Source organism: Homo sapiens, chromosome 1, assembly GCF_000001405.40.
Source record: "Homo sapiens chromosome 1, GRCh38.p14 Primary Assembly".
Lineage (NCBI taxonomy): Eukaryota > Metazoa > Chordata > Mammalia > Primates > Hominidae > Homo > Homo sapiens.
In genome coordinates this window covers 56,567,890-56,587,439 of record NC_000001.11, presented here as the reverse complement: position 1 = coordinate 56,587,439, position 19,550 = coordinate 56,567,890, and the positions used below count along the sequence as shown (strand labels likewise).

The window sequence follows — 19,550 nt, the reverse complement described above, 5'->3', positions numbered from 1 at the left end:
TGCACTATCCCTGGGCTGGAGTGCAGTGGCGTGATCTCGGCTCACTGCAACCTCTGCCTCCTGGGTTCAAGTGATTCTCCTGCCTCAGCCTCCCAAGTAGCTGGGATTACAGGCGCCTGCCACCACACCCAACTAATTTTTTGTATTTTTAGTAGAGACAGGGTTTCACCATGTTGGCCATGCTGGTCTCAAACTCCTGACGTCATGATTCGCCCACCCGCTTTGGCCTCCCAAAGTGCTGGGATTACAGGTGTGAGCCACCACACCTGGCCCTGTTCACATGTTTTTCTAAAAATTAGTCATTTGAAGAAAGAAGCCATAAGCATTAATTTGATTATCTCCAGCACCTAGCATAAATCCTAGCATAGAAAAGGTGATCATGAAATTTGATGAATGATTAAATGAGCAAGTAAATACACATATATATTGAATAAATATACACATATGTATACAGTGAGTGTATATATATACATATATTTGAATTCGGTGAATAAATGCATAAATGTTTATATATATATGTGCACATCATGCACACAAACAACCTTCTGCTCTTTTCTCCCAGATGCACACAATTAAAGTACCACTTCAGAAACCACTAATCTTTCTCCTGTGTGCCTTAGACTAGGCTTCCCCAACCCCCAGGCCACAGATCAGTAGTGGTGCGTGGCCTGTTAGGAACTGGGCTGCATAGCAGGAGGTGAGCCACCAGCCAGCGAACAAAGCTTCATCTGTATTTACAGCTGCTCCCCATAGCTCGCATTACTGCCTGAGCTCTGCCTCCTGTCAGATCATCGATGGCATCAGATCCTCATAAGAGCACAAACCCTACTGTGAACTGCGCTTGCAAGGAGGAGAATCTAATGCCTGATGATCTGTCACTGTCTCCCATCACTCCCAAATGGGACCATCTAGTCACAGGAAAACAAACTCAGGGGTCCCACTGATTCTACATTATGGTGAGCTGTATAATTATTTCATTATATATTACAATGTAATAATAATAGAAATAAAGTGCACAATAAATGTAATGTGCTTGAATTATCCTGAAACCATCCCCCCACTCCCCTCCCCGGTCCACGGAAAAATTACCTTCCAAAAAACCAGTCCCTGATGCCAAAAAGGTTGGGGGCTGCTGCCTTACACAGACAAAGTTTATTCATTACAGATTAATTATTAACATCTTAGCCTTTTCACAAGATGGCGCTGAAGATGAAGAAGGAAGCTCCTGCCCCCACCGAAGCTGATGCCAAAACAAAGGCTTTGGCCACAAAAAAAAAAAGATCCATATGGCACCCTCTTTCTGGTGGCCCAAGGCACTGTGGTTGTGGAAGCAGCCCAAATATCCTTGGATGAGCACCCCCAGGAGAAACAAGCTTACTCACTCTGCCTCATCAGTTCCACTGACCACTGAGTCTGCTATGAAGAAGATAGAAAACAACATGACAATCGAGATGGATTGATGGATAACAGAATGATAGATATGTGATAAAACAAGTAGAATAAAGTATTAATGGTGGATTCTAGGGAGTGGGCATATAAATGCTCATGGTAAATTATTTTCAACTTTTCTGTATATTTGAAAGTCTTCATGATAAACTATAAAGGAAGTAATGTGCAAAAACGAAAAAGGAAACAATTATACACTTGGGTTCATTGTGGATATCAAGGCCAACAAACAAGCACCAGATCAAACAGGCTATGAAGGAGCTCTATGACCCTGATGTGGCCAAGGTCAACACCCTGATCAGGCCTGGTGGAGAGAACACATATGTTCAATTGCCTCCTGATTTACGTTTCGGATGTGGCCAACAAAACTGGGATCATCTAAGCTGAGTCCAGCTGGCTAATTCTAAATATTCACCAGAAAAATAATCATTTAAAAGTAATAGTAATAAAGACTTGATGGCTCCTATCTCAGACTGCCTGGGTTCAAATCCAGGCTCTATCACCTGGCAGTTAAAGTTACTTAACTTTCCTGTGCCCCAGTAGCCTCATCTGTAAAATGAAAAAACCTTCCTTACAGGGATGCTTGGAATATTAAAGGAGTTAACACGTATCGAATAATTAAAGCCTAAAGGTTCAATGAGGACAGGAATTTTTGTTTTATTCATTGCCATATCCCTAGCTTATAGAAGAGTGTTTGGTACATAGCAGATGCTCAATAAATTTCTATTGAATGAATAACCAATATTAGGATAGTCAAAATCGAATCGCTGTTGGCTATTATTTTATGTTTGCTATAAAAGTTCTTAATTCCCATTTCAATCATTCCCCATCCCCCAATTACTGCCATTTTCACTTTGGGAGCCATGGCACTTTCCTATAATGACACAAGATGGCAGCATCACTCTCCTTTTAAGTTATCAGCCAAGCTCTAGTTGACCAGTTTTGGAAATTCTCTGAAGCATCTTTATTTGCAAGTTCCTCCATCCGTTCTAATTTTTTTTTTAATGAACAACATTAACTGTTTGAATTACCATAAGATTAGCTCTTAACTGCTCTAATTTCTAGCTAAGAAAAGATTACTACTTGTAAAAGGGTAAAAATGTTGACATGAATCCAAGACTGCTTTCCAGTACCACTACGATTTTGTGTTCTTAAAGCTCCCTTTTTGTAACAAAAAAACTGCTTGACAAATTATGAAGCCAAATGTGTTTCAGAGACACAAGGTGCAACAATGTTGTTCCCTTCCAAGCCTGTAAGAAATTACAAACAAAATACAACTTCCCCTCTGTCTCTTTACTAAAGACATGAAGCTAATTCTTCAGTCCCTCTAAGTTACTCTGTGAATTCACTGTTGAACAGCAGAAATTTCTGAGCACCTTTGAGTGTGAGACCTTGTGGGGTAAAGAAAAAAACCTTAGTTTAGAAATTAAGAGACCTGGATTCCAGTGGCTCTTCAGGAATCTCCTCACCACCAACTTTAATCAAATCTCCTATCTTTCCAAGATTCAATTTCCTTATTCTAAAACAAGGATAATAATCTCTGCCTTACCTATTCGGAAACAAGATCAGTGAATGTAAATAGCATTATAAACTGTAAGGGGTATAACTGTATTATAAATATTATAAACTGTAAAGCATTATACACTTCACCCTGCATGAGCTAATGTTAGAATCATTTTCATTTTACCTATGGGGAAAACCAGTTCTATCCAGTTAAGTGAGCTTGCCTCAGTTTTCTCATCTGTAAAATGGGACTAATGATAGCAACTCCACCTACTTCAGTGAGTTGTAAAGATAAAAATAAGATAATAGATGTGAAAGTGCTTTTAAAATGAAAGTACTTTCACTTGTACTCTCACAAGATTATTAGCTTAAGCAAATGGCTTTTCTTAGATTTCACAAACAATCCTGAAGAAAACAACATATAAGTAAATCGTTCAAGAAAATAAGTATTTTGAATTAATACTTTCTGAAACCTCAAGAAATTGCATATTTTAAAAAGACAGGAGTTGAGAGGCTGAAGATGTTATTTTATTCAGGGAAGGATGACTACAATTAAATGGTTATATTCAAGGTGGTACTTGATAAATGCTTTTTAAATAGCTGTATTTAAATGAGGTATTTTGTAGAAATAAAGTGTTCATTGAAAATATTAACATTCAACTTGCCAGACGCAGTGGTTCACGCCTATAATCCCAGCACTTTGGGAGGCCAAGGTGGGCGGACCATTTGAGGACAGGAGTTCAAGACTAGCCTGGCCAACATGGTGAAACCCCGTCTGTACTAAAAATACAAAAATTAGCCAGGCTTGGTGGCCATGCCTGTAATCCCAGCTGTGGCACGAGAATCGCTTGAACTCAGGAGGGCTGCAGTGAGCTGAGATCGCGCCACTGCACTCCAGCCCGGGTGGCAGAGCAAGACTCTATCTCAAAGAAAAAACAAAATTAACATTCAACTAATATTTATTGATTGCCTATTGTGTACCAAGCATTTTCAAATGTATTATTTCATTTTATACTTTTAAACCCTCCTCACAACTACAGAAAATGTCAGCCCCATTTAAAAGTTGAGGAAACTGAGGTTCAGGGAGGTTATTCAGCTTGCCTCAGGTCAAACAGCAGAAACCCTTCTGCTAATCCCCTGCCCCTTCCTGCCTTTTCTCAGGAGTATTACGGTAGATGTTTCCATTCAGTCCTCTGGAAGCACTCGTGATATCAAATCCAACACTTATAGCAGCAAGCTAGCAATTTTTGTTTAGTAAAAACCAGAGGTGGAATATGAATATAACAGTTTGGAAGAATCTGGATAAACAGACTCTTCTTAGTCAAAATGTCTATGTCTTCTTAAGTTAACTTCAATGGCTTAAGAAACTTAGGCTCTTACTTTTTGACCATACAATTTTATATAAAAGGGACTCAGCTACTTTCCTCTTCAATATTTCTAGAGCCAATTCATACCTTTTCAAAACTAAAAATAATTAATTATTAAATATTGGGAGTCAAAAAGAGAGAGAAAGAAAATTATGAGGTAACGAGAGATCTTAGAAATGAAGGCCATTTAAATGTTGGGAGGTATCAGTTATGTAAGAATGATGTGCTGTTGTTGTCACACACAATAAGTCAATCTTAAAAAGGCATTTATCCCTGCTGATATTATAGTTTTTATACAGACCAATTTAATGAACTGGATGTCATTTTGATGTGTGAATTTTGGTAAGTTTGTTTGCCAGAAATTCTAATTACTTAATTACCTTGAAATGACACCATTCTAAATTATCAAGTCTGTTTTATTGCAATTTATTTGCTGGTAAGATTATTCAACTTTAGGGTTTAAGGCAAAGAGGCCTTCAAGTTTATATGTCTGGTTAGCTGCTTTATTTCCCATTATCTAAAGAAATATGTTGACACTATATTTTATTACTTGTTCAAATCAGTTTTATAATAACAAGTATTTGTAGCGGTCCTTTGAAGAGTTACCCAAATATAATACCTGTTTGCATAGAACTACATACATCAATTAACACTATGATCTTTTAGTTATGGAAAAATAGCCCACAGAGCCTTATAAATGGAAATATAAAAGTCTTATTTAAACATCCATTTATTATCCCTTTTATCTGCTTTTGGAATAACAGGCTTTTTGAGACAGAGTCTCCCTCTGTTGCTCAGACTGGAGTGCAGTGGCATGATCTGGGCTCACTGCAACATCCACCTGCCCAGTTCAAGCAATTCTCGTGTCTCAGCCTCAGGGAGTAGCTGGGACTATGGGTCTGTACCACCACACCAGTATTTTTAGTAGAGATGGGGTTTCACCATGTTGGCCAGGCTGATCTTGGAGTCCTGGCCTCAAGCCATCTGCCTGTCTTGGCCTCCCAAAGAGCTACGATTATAGGCGTGAGCCACTGCGCCCAGCCAGTCTGACTTTTAAAAATATGTGTATTCTTAAATTAATAAAAGTCATTTCACAGATAAGGAAAAGCAGACAGGAAACATACAGGGAGGTACCTATAAAATTCATGTAGTTACTATTTCTTTCTTTGACTTAGGATTTCACCATTATTGATTGTGGTATTAAGGTCAAGGCTCTCGCCTCATGGAGCTAACAATGTTTGAGGGACAAATTATGACCACTTGCAAGTAAGACAAGCCACTATATTCCACTGCACATGACCCTGTCTTATTATTTCACTTTGCAAGTAATTTCATGATTTGCAAAGTGAAGTAATCAGATAGGGCCGTGTCCAGTGGAATAAGACCTTGAGTATCTACTCAAGGTCTTTTAGAGCTCCAAGGAGGGAAAGATCAGAGAGGCCTGCAGTTTCAAGAAAGCTTGCTTTTAGATTGGAATTCCAAAAGCATGGTTTGGTGACTAAGAATTTCAAAGATGACTATAATTACAAAGACAATTGAGTAGGCAAAGACCCTGGAATCCTGAATTCCTCTTAGAATGTCAGTAATTATGAACCTGGCCTTGTTTTGTTTCCACTCTTTTAACTTTTCAAGAGAAGGTGTTTCTCAAGAAAAAGCTATCTCAAGCATCTGCCTTCTGAACTACCCTGGCTTTTACCTGTGCTATTTGAATTGAGAGTGCTGTGTGTGATTTGCAGTTGGATGCTTCAGCTCCAAAACTTCTTGGGAGAGTCAGATCTTCTTGCTTCCAGAAGATAGCAATGTTGTCTTTCTTTGCAAGCCCCACTTACTAACCGGTGCTAACTTGAGCTTAATTCAGTACACAGCAAATCCCGTGCTAGGTACTAGAGAGATGCCGCGGCGCTGATAACCTACACAGTTTGCTAGTCTTTACCATCTGTAACACCAAATCAGGCTGACATAGGCTCATGCCTGTAATCCTAGCACTTTGGGAGGCCGAGGCAGGCGATCATGACGTCAGGAATTTGAGACCAGCCTGACCAACATGGTGAAGCCCCATCTCTACTAAAAATACAAAAATAGCCGTGTGTGGTGGCACGAGCCTGTAATCTCAGCTACTCAGGAGGCTGAGGCAAGAGAATCCTTTGAATCCGGGAGGCGGAGATTGCAGTGAGCCAAGATTGAGGCACTGCACTCCAGCCTGGGCGATAGAGTGAGACGCCATCTCGGGGGAAAAAAAAATAGTTAGAAGCAAAGAGTTGACAGTGAAGTTAATTCTGTGCAGGAATGAAGAAAGTACTCAGAGAGGAGGTGACATTTCAGAGGATACTAAAGCAAGAGAAGCATTTCCCTAACTAGAGGAGGAAAGGGTATGCATTATAGGCAGAGCGTGCAGGAGAGCAGGGGTGTGGAGTGTGAAAGGATTGTACCAGAAAGGGCAATTGTACCAGAAAGGGTTGATGGTGGCTGCATATAAAGTTATCAAAACCCAAAACAAGTCAGTGTAAGAAAGAACATGATTCATATAATGTATCAAAAAGCTACAAATATTTCCATTTCTGAATGCACACAAAGAACCACCTGGAAAAAACATCCATTTATTGTCCACTGTGCCCAGGTCCATGCTAGGCACTATAGAAGATACAAGGGAAGGCCCTTGCCCTGGAAATGTTTATTCTCTATCTGGAAAAAAGATTAACTCACATAAAATAATTAAAAATAAGATGCCAGCCTCTAAGGAAAAATGTTAGATTGTCTGAAACTCAAGCAGAGAGCATTTTGGCTGCCCTGGAATTCCCCATAGTAGTAGAATTACTCTTGGGGCCAAGAGAGGGGTTGCCTGAGACTCCTTCACCCAGAAAAAAGGTAATTGCTAACCCTCACAGAGCACTTCCTATGTACTGGGCACTGTTCTAGGAGCTTATACGGATTAACAAATTAAGTCTTCACAACCACCCTATATGAAAAGGAACAGTTATCTCTAGTTACATACGGGGAAACTGAGGCACAGAGTCACAGGATTGAAATCCAGGAGATGTGGTTCCACAGTCGTGCAGTCTTTTTCATTTTAGTATTCTCAAAATCTAGCGTAGTACCCGGTGTTGGATGTTAAGATCTTAAACAAACAAACAACTTGTTTTCCTTAAAAATTATATTTTCAGGGTAATACAATTCAAGTCACAATAAAGACCTGAAAGCCTCAGGTTTGTAGGTGAGGAAAAATGCATTTTAGCTGTACAGCCCTAACTTTTACTTGACCCAAGGCCAGCAAGAAAATGTTTCTTTTTATTTATATATATTTTTTCTTTGGTGACAATTTGGTGTTTCTGAACGCTAGGGGCTCCCGGTTTCTCTGGTTTGAGAGTAACTTTTCCTTTTAGGACTTTTTTTTTTTTTTTTGAAGGGGGTGGGGGAAAATGTGGCCTTAATTATCCTACGTCTTAGGCAGCTTAAGGAAGGGGCTGTGCTTTCGGAATCCCATCCGAGCCAAGTAAGGAGGTCCCTCTCTCTCTCTCCCCCCACGTCTTCTCTTTTTAAAGGACCTCGTGAAATAAAAGTGCAGAAAACAAACCCAGGCGATCACAGCAGCAGCCGCCGCGGCAGCAGCACCAACAGCAGGAGGAGCAGGAGGAGCCGGAGGAGGAGGAGGAGGAGGAGGCAAAGTTAGAGTTGGGGCTGGCGCTCCGGAGTTGCTGGGCTCAGCGCAGCTCCCATTCATTAAGGAACCAGCTGCGGAGGAAGGTGGCCGAGCGCCCGCGCTGCCCACTCGCTCGCTCGCGCACTCAGACGCGCGCCACAACAGCGCGCCCCAAGCTGCGCAGCTCTGCAAAAGTTTCTGCTCGGGATCTGGCTCTCTTCCCCTTGGACTTTAGAACGATTTAGGGTTGACAGAGGAAAGCAGAGGCGCGCAGGAGGAGCAGAAAACACCACCTTCTGCAGTTGGAGGCAGGCAGCCCCGGCTGCACTCTAGCCGCCGCGCCCGGAGCCGGGGCCGACCCGCCACTATCCGCAGCAGCCTCGGCCAGGAGGCGACCCGGGCGCCTGGGTGTGTGGCTGCTGTTGCGGGACGTCTTCGCGGGGCGGGAGGCTCGCGCCGCAGCCAGCGCCATGCAAAACTACAAGTACGACAAAGCGATCGTCCCGGAGAGCAAGAACGGCGGCAGCCCGGCGCTCAACAACAACCCGAGGAGGAGCGGCAGCAAGCGGGTGCTGCTCATCTGCCTCGACCTCTTCTGCCTCTTCATGGGTGAGCCCAGCCCCGCTGTCCCTCGGCCCCTCGGCCCCTCGTCCCTCGGCGCGCGTCCCAGCCCAGTCCGGGGCCGCGCAGCGCCGCGCCGCGCCGCGCCGTCAGCTCCGGGGGGCCCCCGCAGCCTTCCTGGGGAGCCTTTGCGCCGCCCAGGCCCGAAGCCCCCGCCCTCCCCGATCCCACCGACTTCTTGGCCTGTACTTGAGTGGGTCTGGGCGTGCTTAAGCGTTCGTGGGCAACTGTTAAACCAGCTCAGTAAAAGTCGTCTCCACGTTGGAAGCCCGGGCGGAATCCCGCGGAAGGTGTGGGTTCGTCCTTTTAGCGTAGGGGAAGTTGGTTGAGCCGCGCTCTAGAGCCAGCGTATAGCTAGCTGGTCGCCCTCCATCCGAGTGAAATGGATCGCCCCGAGAGTCGGGCTCCTGCCTGGAGCCGAGCTGCCTTCCCGGCGGCTGTATGTAAACATCCAGCCCTTCCGCCTTTGCTGCCCAGGCTCGCCAGACTGGCTAGCCGGCCTTTTCACTTGCTCCTCTCCTGTAGGTGCTTTCCCCGGGCTTGGTGCTGGGCACGGCTTCAGCAATCACTTGAGTGCCTACTGTGTGCCAGGTGGTAGGCGGCTTCAGGGGCATCAGTTTTAGCTCGCCCACTCTCTGACTCGGTGCAGCAGGGGTGATGAGCCCCATTTCCCTGATGGGCACATTGAGGCACTGGGAAAGCCAGCTGCGATCTTGTTTGGGGACCACAAATTTAATTGCGCCCCCAGAAAGTTGAGGCGATGGTCCACTTCTGTTTTCCAAAGTCGTTGGAAGCCACAGCTGGAAGAGCGGTGGGAGTTAAAGGAATTGGAGTGGGAGGGCGAGGAGGATTTATGAACTCGGTAGGGGAGGGAGAAAGCGCTTCACAAGAATGAACAGGACTTCCAAGGTTGAAGTCAGCCTAGGATTTTTTTTTTTTTAAAGCGAATCATGGTGTAATGGAAAACGCACAGTACTTGTCATCAGAACACTGCCACTCTTGCCACTTGCTGGGTGTGCCACTTAACTGCCTCATGGGCCTCAGTTTCCTCAGCAGTTGAATGAGTGGGTTGAAGTAGATGCTCTCCAAGGCCCCTTCCCGCATTAGGAACTCGGATTTGGTCCAGAAGCTGTTCTGCCAACTCTGCTAACTGAAGAAACATCTGTGTTCCCAATTCAGTTCCCTTAAAATACAGCTCCTGCACAGACTTAAGTCCCCTTTGAAATGGATTTGTCCATGCAGATTTTGCAGACCAGAGACTTCTTAGGCTGGAGTTATACCTCTCTGGTATTCATGACTCTTTCTGTAGCACTGCTCTTACTGTGCAGTGTCCTCTTGATGGTCCATAGTAAAGAAAGATAGGATTCTTAGAGTTTAAAAATAAGAACGGCCCCCTTCAGGTAAGAAGAGACAGCTGAAGGTATAATTGTGCTCTGTGGAAGGGTGGAGGGGTGGAAAGGAAGAAAAGTCACTGTAGTTCAGGTGGCACATCCCATTTCCACGTCTCTCAACATTAATTCAACATTAAGATGCTATGTAAAGGAATTGTCACTGGGGGGCCTACCTTCCTGAAGGCAGCTGGCTCATTATCATGCACAGTGGGACAGATTACTACTTAAAGTCTTGTAATCAAGCTGTTGAATTTTTAAAAGACCCTCTCTGGTCCCAGGGGAGTACAAGGAAGCACTAAACACATGGAAGCTGTTTGCTGTAAACTTGCCTGGAACTCCCTGTGTTTACTCAGTGTGTTTTGTTGGTGGCAGGGTAAGCTCTTTCTAGAGTGCCTGTGCAGGATACCCTCCTACCTCCTACTTTGTGATTAAGAAAGCAGAGCTAGAACATGCTTGACAGCCTTTGTACAATTTCCTTTCCACCCTTGTGATTTTAGAAGGCAGTCCCAAGAGATGGTGTCTTATGAAAGTGAAAAGGAAAGAGATGTAAAGGAATTTGCAAAAAGACACAACCATCAGCTGTAGTTTAGCCAGGGATGTAAAAACCCAAGCTACTCTGTTGTACATTGAAGGTGTAAAAAAGGTGTGTGTGCATGCATGCATGTGTGTGCATATGCATGTTTCAGTTCTTCATTTCCCCACTATCCCCCGTCCCCCCAAAGCTAATATTCTAACCTGTTTATTATATTTATTCACTGTTGGTCTTATGTTTGAACAAAATGATTTTGTTTATCTCCAAAAAGCAATAAGGCGTCAGGACCATGTATTCTGTTATAGAGGCACATAGCTACTTGTTTTCAGGGGTGCTTTGCCATTAAAACCATGGCAACATTTTCAAAGTGACTTATTGATCAATGTTTCCCCTGAGCACAGGCCAATTACAATATCACTAATTAAATGTCTCTCAAACACCTTTAACAGGAAAAATTCTTTGTAAGAGAAATATTTAGGTGAGATATTTATGCAGGAGAACTCTATTTGGCTTCCAAAAGAAAAATTAATAGCACAACATGTGATTTTAATATTCCGCACACCACAGTCCTAAAAAAAATTGTTTCCACTTTTTGCCTAAGACCGTCAGTATAATTTAATTTTTATATAGTTTATTGATCATATGGTCTGGATTACAGGGCACTAATATATTAAGAAGAGAGACAGTTTTCTGTTTATTCTCTCACAGGAATATATAAGAAACTTCATCTAGTATCTGGAAAAAATAAAAGCTGATGTGCTATGTCAGTGTTATGTAAGTGGAAATATGCAAGTAGTTTAACTTGTTTCACATACCTTTTTAGAACGTTAAATTCTTGGTGAAAAAGCAGAAGTCTACTCTTGTTTGAAAGCCAAGACAATCTGGTGTCAAATAACACCAGTGGGAGTTTACCTTTCATTGGACAGCTATCTTTACCGATTAATTGCTTTTAAATACAGTTATGAATCTTTGCGTGATAGTTTTCCTGAAATTGATTTTGTTTTCCTTTTAATTAAGTAATATTTATCACCTCCTGGTTTTTGTACATTGATTGTGGTGTATGGGGTTACAGGAGAGCAACAGACGATTCCCAGGTAAGAAGGGAGGAACAGTTATTGTCTTTCTAAGCTCTGTTAGTCTCTTTTTTATATAAATTCATATATGCATGCTTTAATGCAACCCCTATGAATAAATTATCTCCATTTTATAAACCAGAAACCATGTCTCAGAAAAGGGAAGGATAGACTAACACTGAAGTCGATTTGAATTGATCCCCAGTTCTCAGTTTAGCATGAGTGGAATCCTTTCCCCACCTGAAGAATCTTGAAATTCAGGTTCTTATCAGAAAATTCTGAAGCTCGGTTTGCAGAAAGTTCTGCCTCTCCCGATTTCCCAGTTACCCATTTGCACCAAAGCAGAAAAATAAAGTTGGTCCCAGTCTTCCAGTCAGTAATACGGAATTTGGGTGGTCAGCAACCGTGCTATTTAATTTGGTTGCTCCACCACGTTTTTGGATGTTTTTTGATTTCCAACTAAATGGTTGAGCTAAAATTCTAGAACTGGTTCTATATATGGGATACATAGAGTCATCATTTATTATTATTTACTTTAAATAGTGAGAGAGGGGCAGCATGGTATAGTGCAAAAAAGACACTTAGAGTCAGAAGCTTCAGGTTCCACGTTGGCCAGTGCCACTATCGAGTTGCATTGTGTGGATGAGTCGGTTTTCTGTGTGTCTCAGTTTTTTTCCACCTGCAAAATGACTGTGTGGGATTATGTCTATTATTGCCATTAAACATGCGGTGACCGATTTCTAGTAGAGGCTTGACGTTAGAGACTTGACATATGCTGAATGTCTACCCTATGCATCTACTCTGCTGAGCTCTTCATTATATATTAGCTCTGTGAATCATCACAAACTAGAGACAGTCATTATAGTCTTGTACTGCCACTGCACTGTACAGCTTTGGAAAAATTCATTTAAATTTTCTGAGTCTCAGTTTCTTTACCATTGCGAAAAAGGGAAGGAACTAGACCATCTTTCAGTGTCCTTCTAGCTGTAACAATTTTATAAGTCTAGGCTGGTAAATATTGTGATGTAGTAACATACCCACTGCCCCTCTTAGACCATTTGTCATTAATTGAATTGTTATATATGTATGACCAAAGAATTAATGTTGAAAATTAGCTTAAGTTGGTGTTAATTCTGGAGGGGAGGTAAGCACTGCTTTTATTAAGGTTAAGGCAATACGTTGAGAAACTGACTAGATTTTTCCTACGCCGGATGTGTCCTTTCACCTGCTTCCTGAAATTTACATATTTTCATTAATCAACCGGTAAATTGCCTAGCCAACCATCCTTCGTAGATTAAAATAAAGAAAAGAGCCTCGTTGGGTGCAGTGGCTTACTCCTGTAATCCCAGCACTTTGGGAGGCAGAGGCAGGAGGATTACTTGAGCTAAGGAGTTCGAGATCAGCTTGGGCAATATAGTGAGACCTTGTCTCTACAAAAAAATCAAAAATTAACCGGGCGTGGTGGTGCAAGCCTGTAGCTGTAGCCCAGCTTCTTGGGAGGCTGAGGCAGGAGGATACCTTGAGACTAGGAGTTGGAGGCTGCAGTGAGCCATGATTGTGTCACTGCACTCCAGCCTAGGATCATTTAGTAGGTAAGCCCTGTTGACTTTTCTAGTATGGTTAAAAGCTTTTATTCACTGTCCATAATGGTTAGGGTTTTTTTTTTTTTTTGAGACAGAGTCTTCTCTGTCACCCAGGCTAGAGTGCAATGGCGTGATCTTGGCTCGCTGCAACCTCTGCCTCCCGGATTCAAGCGATTCTCCTGCCTCAGCCTCCTGAGTAGCTGGGACTACAGGCACGTGCCACCATGCTTAGCTAATTTTTTGTATTTTAGTAGAGACAGGGTTTCACCATGTTAGCCAAGATGGTCTCGATCTCCTGACTTTGTGATCTGCCCGCTTCAGCCTCCCAAAGTGCTGGGATTACAGGTGTGAGCCACCGTGCCAGGCCCCTTTTCTGCTTTTAACCCTTTTGATTACCTGTCAATTTTAGATTCTTCCTTTACCCTTTCTTGTGCAGTTGTTTGGGCTAGAAAGCCCAGTTGGTCACAGCGTGATGCTAATGAGACCATAGTCAAGGGCTTCTTCCCTGTGTAGGCAGTTATATTTATGGAGAAACCCTGTCCTGTGTGTCAGTTCAATCCAGTACACGTTATGTGAGGAGTAATACTTTGTTTTGGGGTTGCCTATTACACCAGTATTTCATAAACTCACCTAACATGGGGCCTATCTGGTATGAAATACAGATTCTCGGACTCTTCTCCAGGATATTCAGATTCAGCTGGCTTTGAGCCAGGACCTGGGATTCTGTGTTTTATAAACGCTGCCGGTGATTCTTATCAGGCCAATTTTAGAATCACTATGTTGTTTAACAGCTGATATCTTAAGGGCAATTTAATTATGTAGTGGGCTTTTTGTCCCTGCACTGAATGTTCTGGCATTTTCTGCATTGTTAGGTTGTCTGTACTTTTTTTGTTTGTTTGTTTGTGACCAGTGCACCTGTCTTTTTCAGTAAAGATAATCAAGTTTGCAAGAATTCTTCCGAATGGAAAATTACCCCTGGATGCAGACCTGAAGGTGTCCTGTGTCTTTCAGTGCAAAGACTTGGTGTTGTTTCTAATGCCAAGAGGCTAAAATCTTTATGTATTTTCTGGTTGTAAACCGAACTCTATGTAATTGAAGTTGCCAGCCATGTGACTCTTTGGATAAATGAGGTGTTAATTTTAAATATTTTCTTTTGAGATATTGAAGTTTGTGCATGAGTGCAAGGTGAAGCAGGAATAAATTAGATTCCTAAATAGAGCCTTTAGAAGATAAAATAAGCTTGGCAAAGTAGTGTAGAAACAATACAAGCTTTGGATTTCCCCAAATCTGTGTTTGAATCCTGACATAAAGCAAACAGCCACCTTTTGCCAGCATGTAATTTTGGGCAAAAATTATTTAACCTCCTCCAGGCTTCAGTTTCCTCATCTGTAAAATAAGCAAACCTGGTAATACTTGTTTGTTGTGAAACCCAGGTGAGATAATGAAACTGAAAGCATTTTGAAAAGTTCAAAATCACGTTATCATTATCAGGTAGGAATGAAGTTGCTGTTGTTCTTCATAGAGTCGAATTTTCATTTTCCTCCCAGTTTTCTTACTCCTCAATGGTTCTATAAAATCCTCTTATTTCTTGGCAGCAAAGTTGCCTGAACTATATTAAGGAAAAAGATTCTGAGAAGAATCCCAAGAAAACACCAAGCAGAGTGGACACAAATGTTTTCCATTAGCTGAAGAAAAGCAGTGGCAGGTTTCCTGACCCTTTCTGGGAAAGTCAAAGTGCAGGAACCTCAATAGGCTTTGGTGGTTGCATTCTTCCCCTTTGAAAGGGACAAAGCCATATTATCTTGAGAGAAAGACAGATATGCCTTAGGAAGGGTGGGAGAGAATTTAGACACGTGGTCTGTTTTAGGGTCAACTCTCACTTGGGTCATTCCTGTCATTCAACAGCCCAGAGGAAAACCAAACTAAAAGAACAGCAAGGCCAGGCGTGGTGGCTCACGCCTGTAATCCTAGCACTTTGGGAGGCTGAGGCAGGTGGATCACCTGAGGTCAGAATTTCGAGACTAGCCTGGTCAACATGGTGAAACCCCGTCTCTACTAAAAATACAAAAATTAGCCGGGCATCGTGGTGTGTGCCTGTAATCCCAGCTACTCCGGAGGCTGAGGCAGGAGAATTGCTGGAACCCAGTTGGCAGAGGCTGCAGTGAGCCAAGATCACGCCACTGCACTCCAGGCTGGGTGATAGAGCGAGACTCTGTCTCAAAAAAAAAAAAAAAAAAAAAAAACCAGAAATGATTGGAAATGATCGAAACGCTGGTCATCTAGGGGACCCTCTGTATTTGCTGAGGAAGGAAGGTACTGAGCTAGGCTACCATATTTATTATACAGGCCAATCATGTGGTATAGAGACGATCCCTTTTATAGAAGAGGGAACTGTAGCTCAGAGATGTTAAGTAACTTGCACAAGGGCACCCAGCTAGAAAGCAGTCACCAACTTTTCCAGAGCTCTTGTCAGGTTACCTTGCTGCCCCACTTTTCAATTTGCAATTAATTGATTGCAATTAATGCAATCAAAGCAGTCTTTTTCATTTCTTTCCATTTTGTTTATTTTGGTCTTAAGGATATTATTGGGCAGTGGAGTAGACAGAGTAATATGTAAATAATTGCAAAACAGCTTAAAGCTTGATGAATAAGCTTCTCTGTAGACATAATAAAGAGAATACCATTGGAGCAATTCCTCATTGCCTAGATTCATGGAATCTTTAGAATTTGGAAGTACCTTGGAGATTTCATTATCAACGATACCAAGGTCATTTTTTAATGTCAGTTAGAAAAATAGGCCTTTTTGAGCTGGGGAAGGGAGAGAGGTGTGAGGGGAATAGCACGGGCTTTGGAGTCAGACTGGAGTCTGCTCACTATTATTGGCCATAGAAGCTTAAGCAAGTTTACTTGATCTCTGTGATGCCTCATAAATCCTCATTTACGAAATGAGATTCTGTGTGCACTGTGACGTGGTGGGGACATGCCTAGTACAGTGCCTGGTGCATAGAGACACTCAAGAGGTAGTTGCTGCAGTCATTATCATCACCACATCCTAGTCAATGCCCTTGGTTCACAAATGGGAACTAGAGGTCTTGGTTGGTTAGTAATTGTCCAGTGACAGTGAAAGAGGAGGACCTAGAACCAAGGTCTTGCCTTTCTACCATTCTGCTTTTCGGATGTGGACTTGTTGGTTTGAAATTTGATATTATTCATGAGGAGAGTTCCCTGGAGAGCTTTCTCTCTTGCGTGCGTCAGTAGAAAAAGGAACAAGACAAACAGGTTTAACTTTTAATCCATATCAGTGGATGTTAGCTGAGTGAAGCCAAAGATACATGGGACAAATGTGAAGGACTAGGCAGTGTTTTGAAATATTACTTTTCTTCAAACTGGTATTTTTTCAGGAAAGTACTTATTACCAAGATCACTGCTGAATGATTTGAGCTGGAACAGGTGCCACCTTTTTCAAATGATGTATCTCAGGGGAGAAAAAAGAGACTCCATGTTTTCAAAGTTTTTGCTTTTTATTATTTATTTATTTATTTTTGCTTTTTAAAAGCCTCTCAACAAACTCTCCTTATTCCCATGTGACTGAGGATGAAACAGTCTCAGATTAAACAGACTTCTCAAGGTCACGCATTGTCAGTGCCAACATTCAAAAGAAGGCTAGGTCAGGTTCTTGAACATCCTTGTGAAATTATTCTTCCCTTAAGTCTGGGTTAAATTATAAATTATGATCTGCATTTAAATTCCCAAATTTAAAACAAACCAAACAAAACAACGCACTTCAGACTCTTTTGGAAACCTTTGAAAGGAACTTGATTTCTGTGTGATTTGAAAGTATATATTGCAATCAAGGTATTGGTGGTAAGTGTGTTTTTGAGGTTTGTCACAAATTAACAAAATTATATGCCTAAAGAGTTTTGCAGAGAAATGCAAATCATTATAAGCGCCTTGTCATAATAAGTAGTGTGCTTTGGTTCCTGTTTATGTATCCCTAAAACACATAATACACTATTACATTGACACGAAGGAAACCATTCTCATTGATGGTTTCTTTATATCTGGCCCCCAAATTAGTTTGTGGTATCAATCAGTATAATTTCTAGAGAGCCTATTAAGCCTATGTTTGTACCTGTCTTTCAGGTATAAGCCTTGTCTTCTGCAGATGATTCTTGAGCACCTACTATATGCCAGGCCCCAGGGTTTCCATGGCCTTAAGGAATTCCCAGGCTGGTGAAAGTGGAACAGGCTTTTGCCTAATGACAAACACTATATAAGTGATGACTTTGGAGCCTTAAGGGAGGGCCTACTCTAGCAGCACAGTGAAGAGTGATGAAGCTTGCCTGAGGGTGTGGAGCTGGGTCTTGCAAGATAAATAATAGCTCACAAGCCAGGAAGGGGGAGAAGGTATTGCAGCAGAGTGAAGCACAGGTGCTGAGACTTGGAAGCAGGGACCTATTTGGGAAGAGTGAGTAGCTGGAGGCTGGAATGTCAATATTGTGTGTTTGCACTGTGCGGGGGAAGAAAGGAGGACATTGGAGATGAGGCTGGAGAGATAGGTTAGAGCTAGATTATGAAAGGGGACTGGGTATGGCAGGCAGCTAAGGAATTTGAGTTTTATTTTGGTGAACGAGGAGAGCAAATGAAGTTTTCTTTTTGTTTTTCTTTTTATTTTTATCTTGGAAGATTTCATAGAGAAACCTACTACCTAGGAGTGAAATTGCTGGGTCCTATGGTAACTCCACATTTACCTTTTTGAGGAACTGCCAAACTGTTTTTCATAGTGGCTGCACCATTTTAGAAATATCTAAAGGCGGCTGGGTGCAGTGGCTCACACCTGTAATCCCAGCACTTTGGGAGGATGAGGCAGGCAGATCACGAGGTCAGGAGTTTGAGACCAGCCTGGCCAACATAGTGAAACCCCGTCTCTAACAAAAATACAAAAAATTAGCCAGGTGTGGTGGCAGGCGCCTGTAATCCCAGCTAATCAGGAGGCTGAGGCAGGAGAATCACTTGAACCTGGGAGGCAGAGGTTGCAGTGAGCTGAGAGAGCCATTGCACTCCAGCCCGGGTGACAGTGTGAGACTACATCTCAAAAAAACAAAAACAAAAAACTAAAGGCTAGTTACAGTATGTAAGAAAAATACAATAGTTTTATAAAAGACCTTTGGAATGAACATATTCATGAAAAGATTGGAGGAGGGAATTAATTTAATCTTATTTGGGTTTGGGAGAGATGACTGGATTTGAGGGTAGGCAAATGGGAGGCAGAGGAGCTAAAGACCAGTGGGGTGGCAAGTGCAAGCTGAACCGAGGGTACTGTGGTGGGAGCAGAGAGGGCTGGATAAGAAAGACATGACAGGGCCGGGCGCGGTGGCTCACGCCTGTAATCCCAGCACTTGGGGAGGCCGAGTGGGGTGGATCACAAGGTCAGGAGTTCAAGACCAGCCTGGCCAAGATGGTGAAACCCCATCTCTACTAAAAATACAAAAAAATTAGCCAGGCATGGTGGTGGGCACCTGTAGTCCCAGCCACTCGGGAGGCTGAGGCAGAGAATTGCTTGAACCCGGGAGGCGGAGGTTGCAGTAAGCCGAGATCACGCCACTGCACTCCAGCCTGGGCGACAGAGCGAGACTCGTCTCAAAAAGAAAAGAAAAAGAAAGATATGACAGGTACTTCCTGAACTCCAGGTTGGGAGCCTCTGAACTATGGTGAGGCCACTCCTTCCAGAAACACTTTAAATGCAGGATTTATAGGAGATTTATGAAATCTATTAGTAAATGCTTTTTTATGTGCATAGCCTTATTATGAAGACGAGGCTGTGAGTTATATTCTTTTGTTCTGGACTTTTTAAGTTTCTCAAATGCCCCTTAAAATAAGTGGGCTATAAATCCTCTTGGCTTAGAGAAAGGGTTTTTCCTGGGTTGCAATGGTATTTTATTCAAAGAGCTTTATTGAGATATTCACATACTATGCAATTCATTTCTTTAAAGCACACGATTCATTGGTTTTTAGTATCTTTTCTTTTTTTTTGGTTTTTAGTATCTTCACGGTTAGGTAAACTATCACCACAACCAATTTTAGAACATTTCATCACTGCAAAAAGAAACGATACCCACTACCAGTCACTCCCCATTTTTCCTCCACCTTCCCACATCTCATGGCAACCACGAATCCAATTTCTTTCTCCATAGATTTGCCTGTTCTGAATATTTCATGTAAGTATAATCATATAATATGTGGTCTTTCGTGACTGGCTTCTTCCACTTGGCGTACGGTTTTTAAGGTTCATTCATATTGCAGCATGTATCCTTCATTTCTTTTTATTGTCAAATAATATTCCATTATGTAGACATAACACATTTCATTTTTACCTTCACCACTTGATGAACATTTG

The 19,550-nt window shown here is 42.3% G+C and overlaps 1 protein-coding gene and 1 pseudogene across 1 annotated transcript in view, besides 1 other annotated feature; both read left to right on the top strand.

Moving 5' to 3' along the window:
- RPL23AP85 (ribosomal protein L23a pseudogene 85) lies at positions 1,198 to 1,825 on the top strand (annotated as a pseudogene).
- PLPP3 (phospholipid phosphatase 3) overlaps positions 7,877 to 19,550 on the top strand; it is an 84,803-nt gene continuing 73,129 nt past the window's right edge. The window contains exon 1 of the mRNA NM_003713.5: positions 7,877 to 8,562. Coding sequence (NP_003704.3) covers positions 8,424 to 8,562 — 139 coding nt within the window. The 5' untranslated portion in view covers positions 7,877 to 8,423. The remainder of the gene's footprint in view (positions 8,563 to 19,550) is intronic.
- Positions 9,892 to 10,459: an enhancer, noted in NCBI's record as "OCT4-NANOG hESC enhancer chr1:57042654-57043221 (GRCh37/hg19 assembly coordinates)". NCBI's record gives its function as "activates a minimal SCP1, AML or CMV promoter by ChIP-STARR-seq in primed H9 embryonic stem cells {active_cell/tissue: H9 hESC(primed)}" and the evidence as "EXISTENCE:reporter gene assay evidence [ECO:0000049][PMID:30033119]".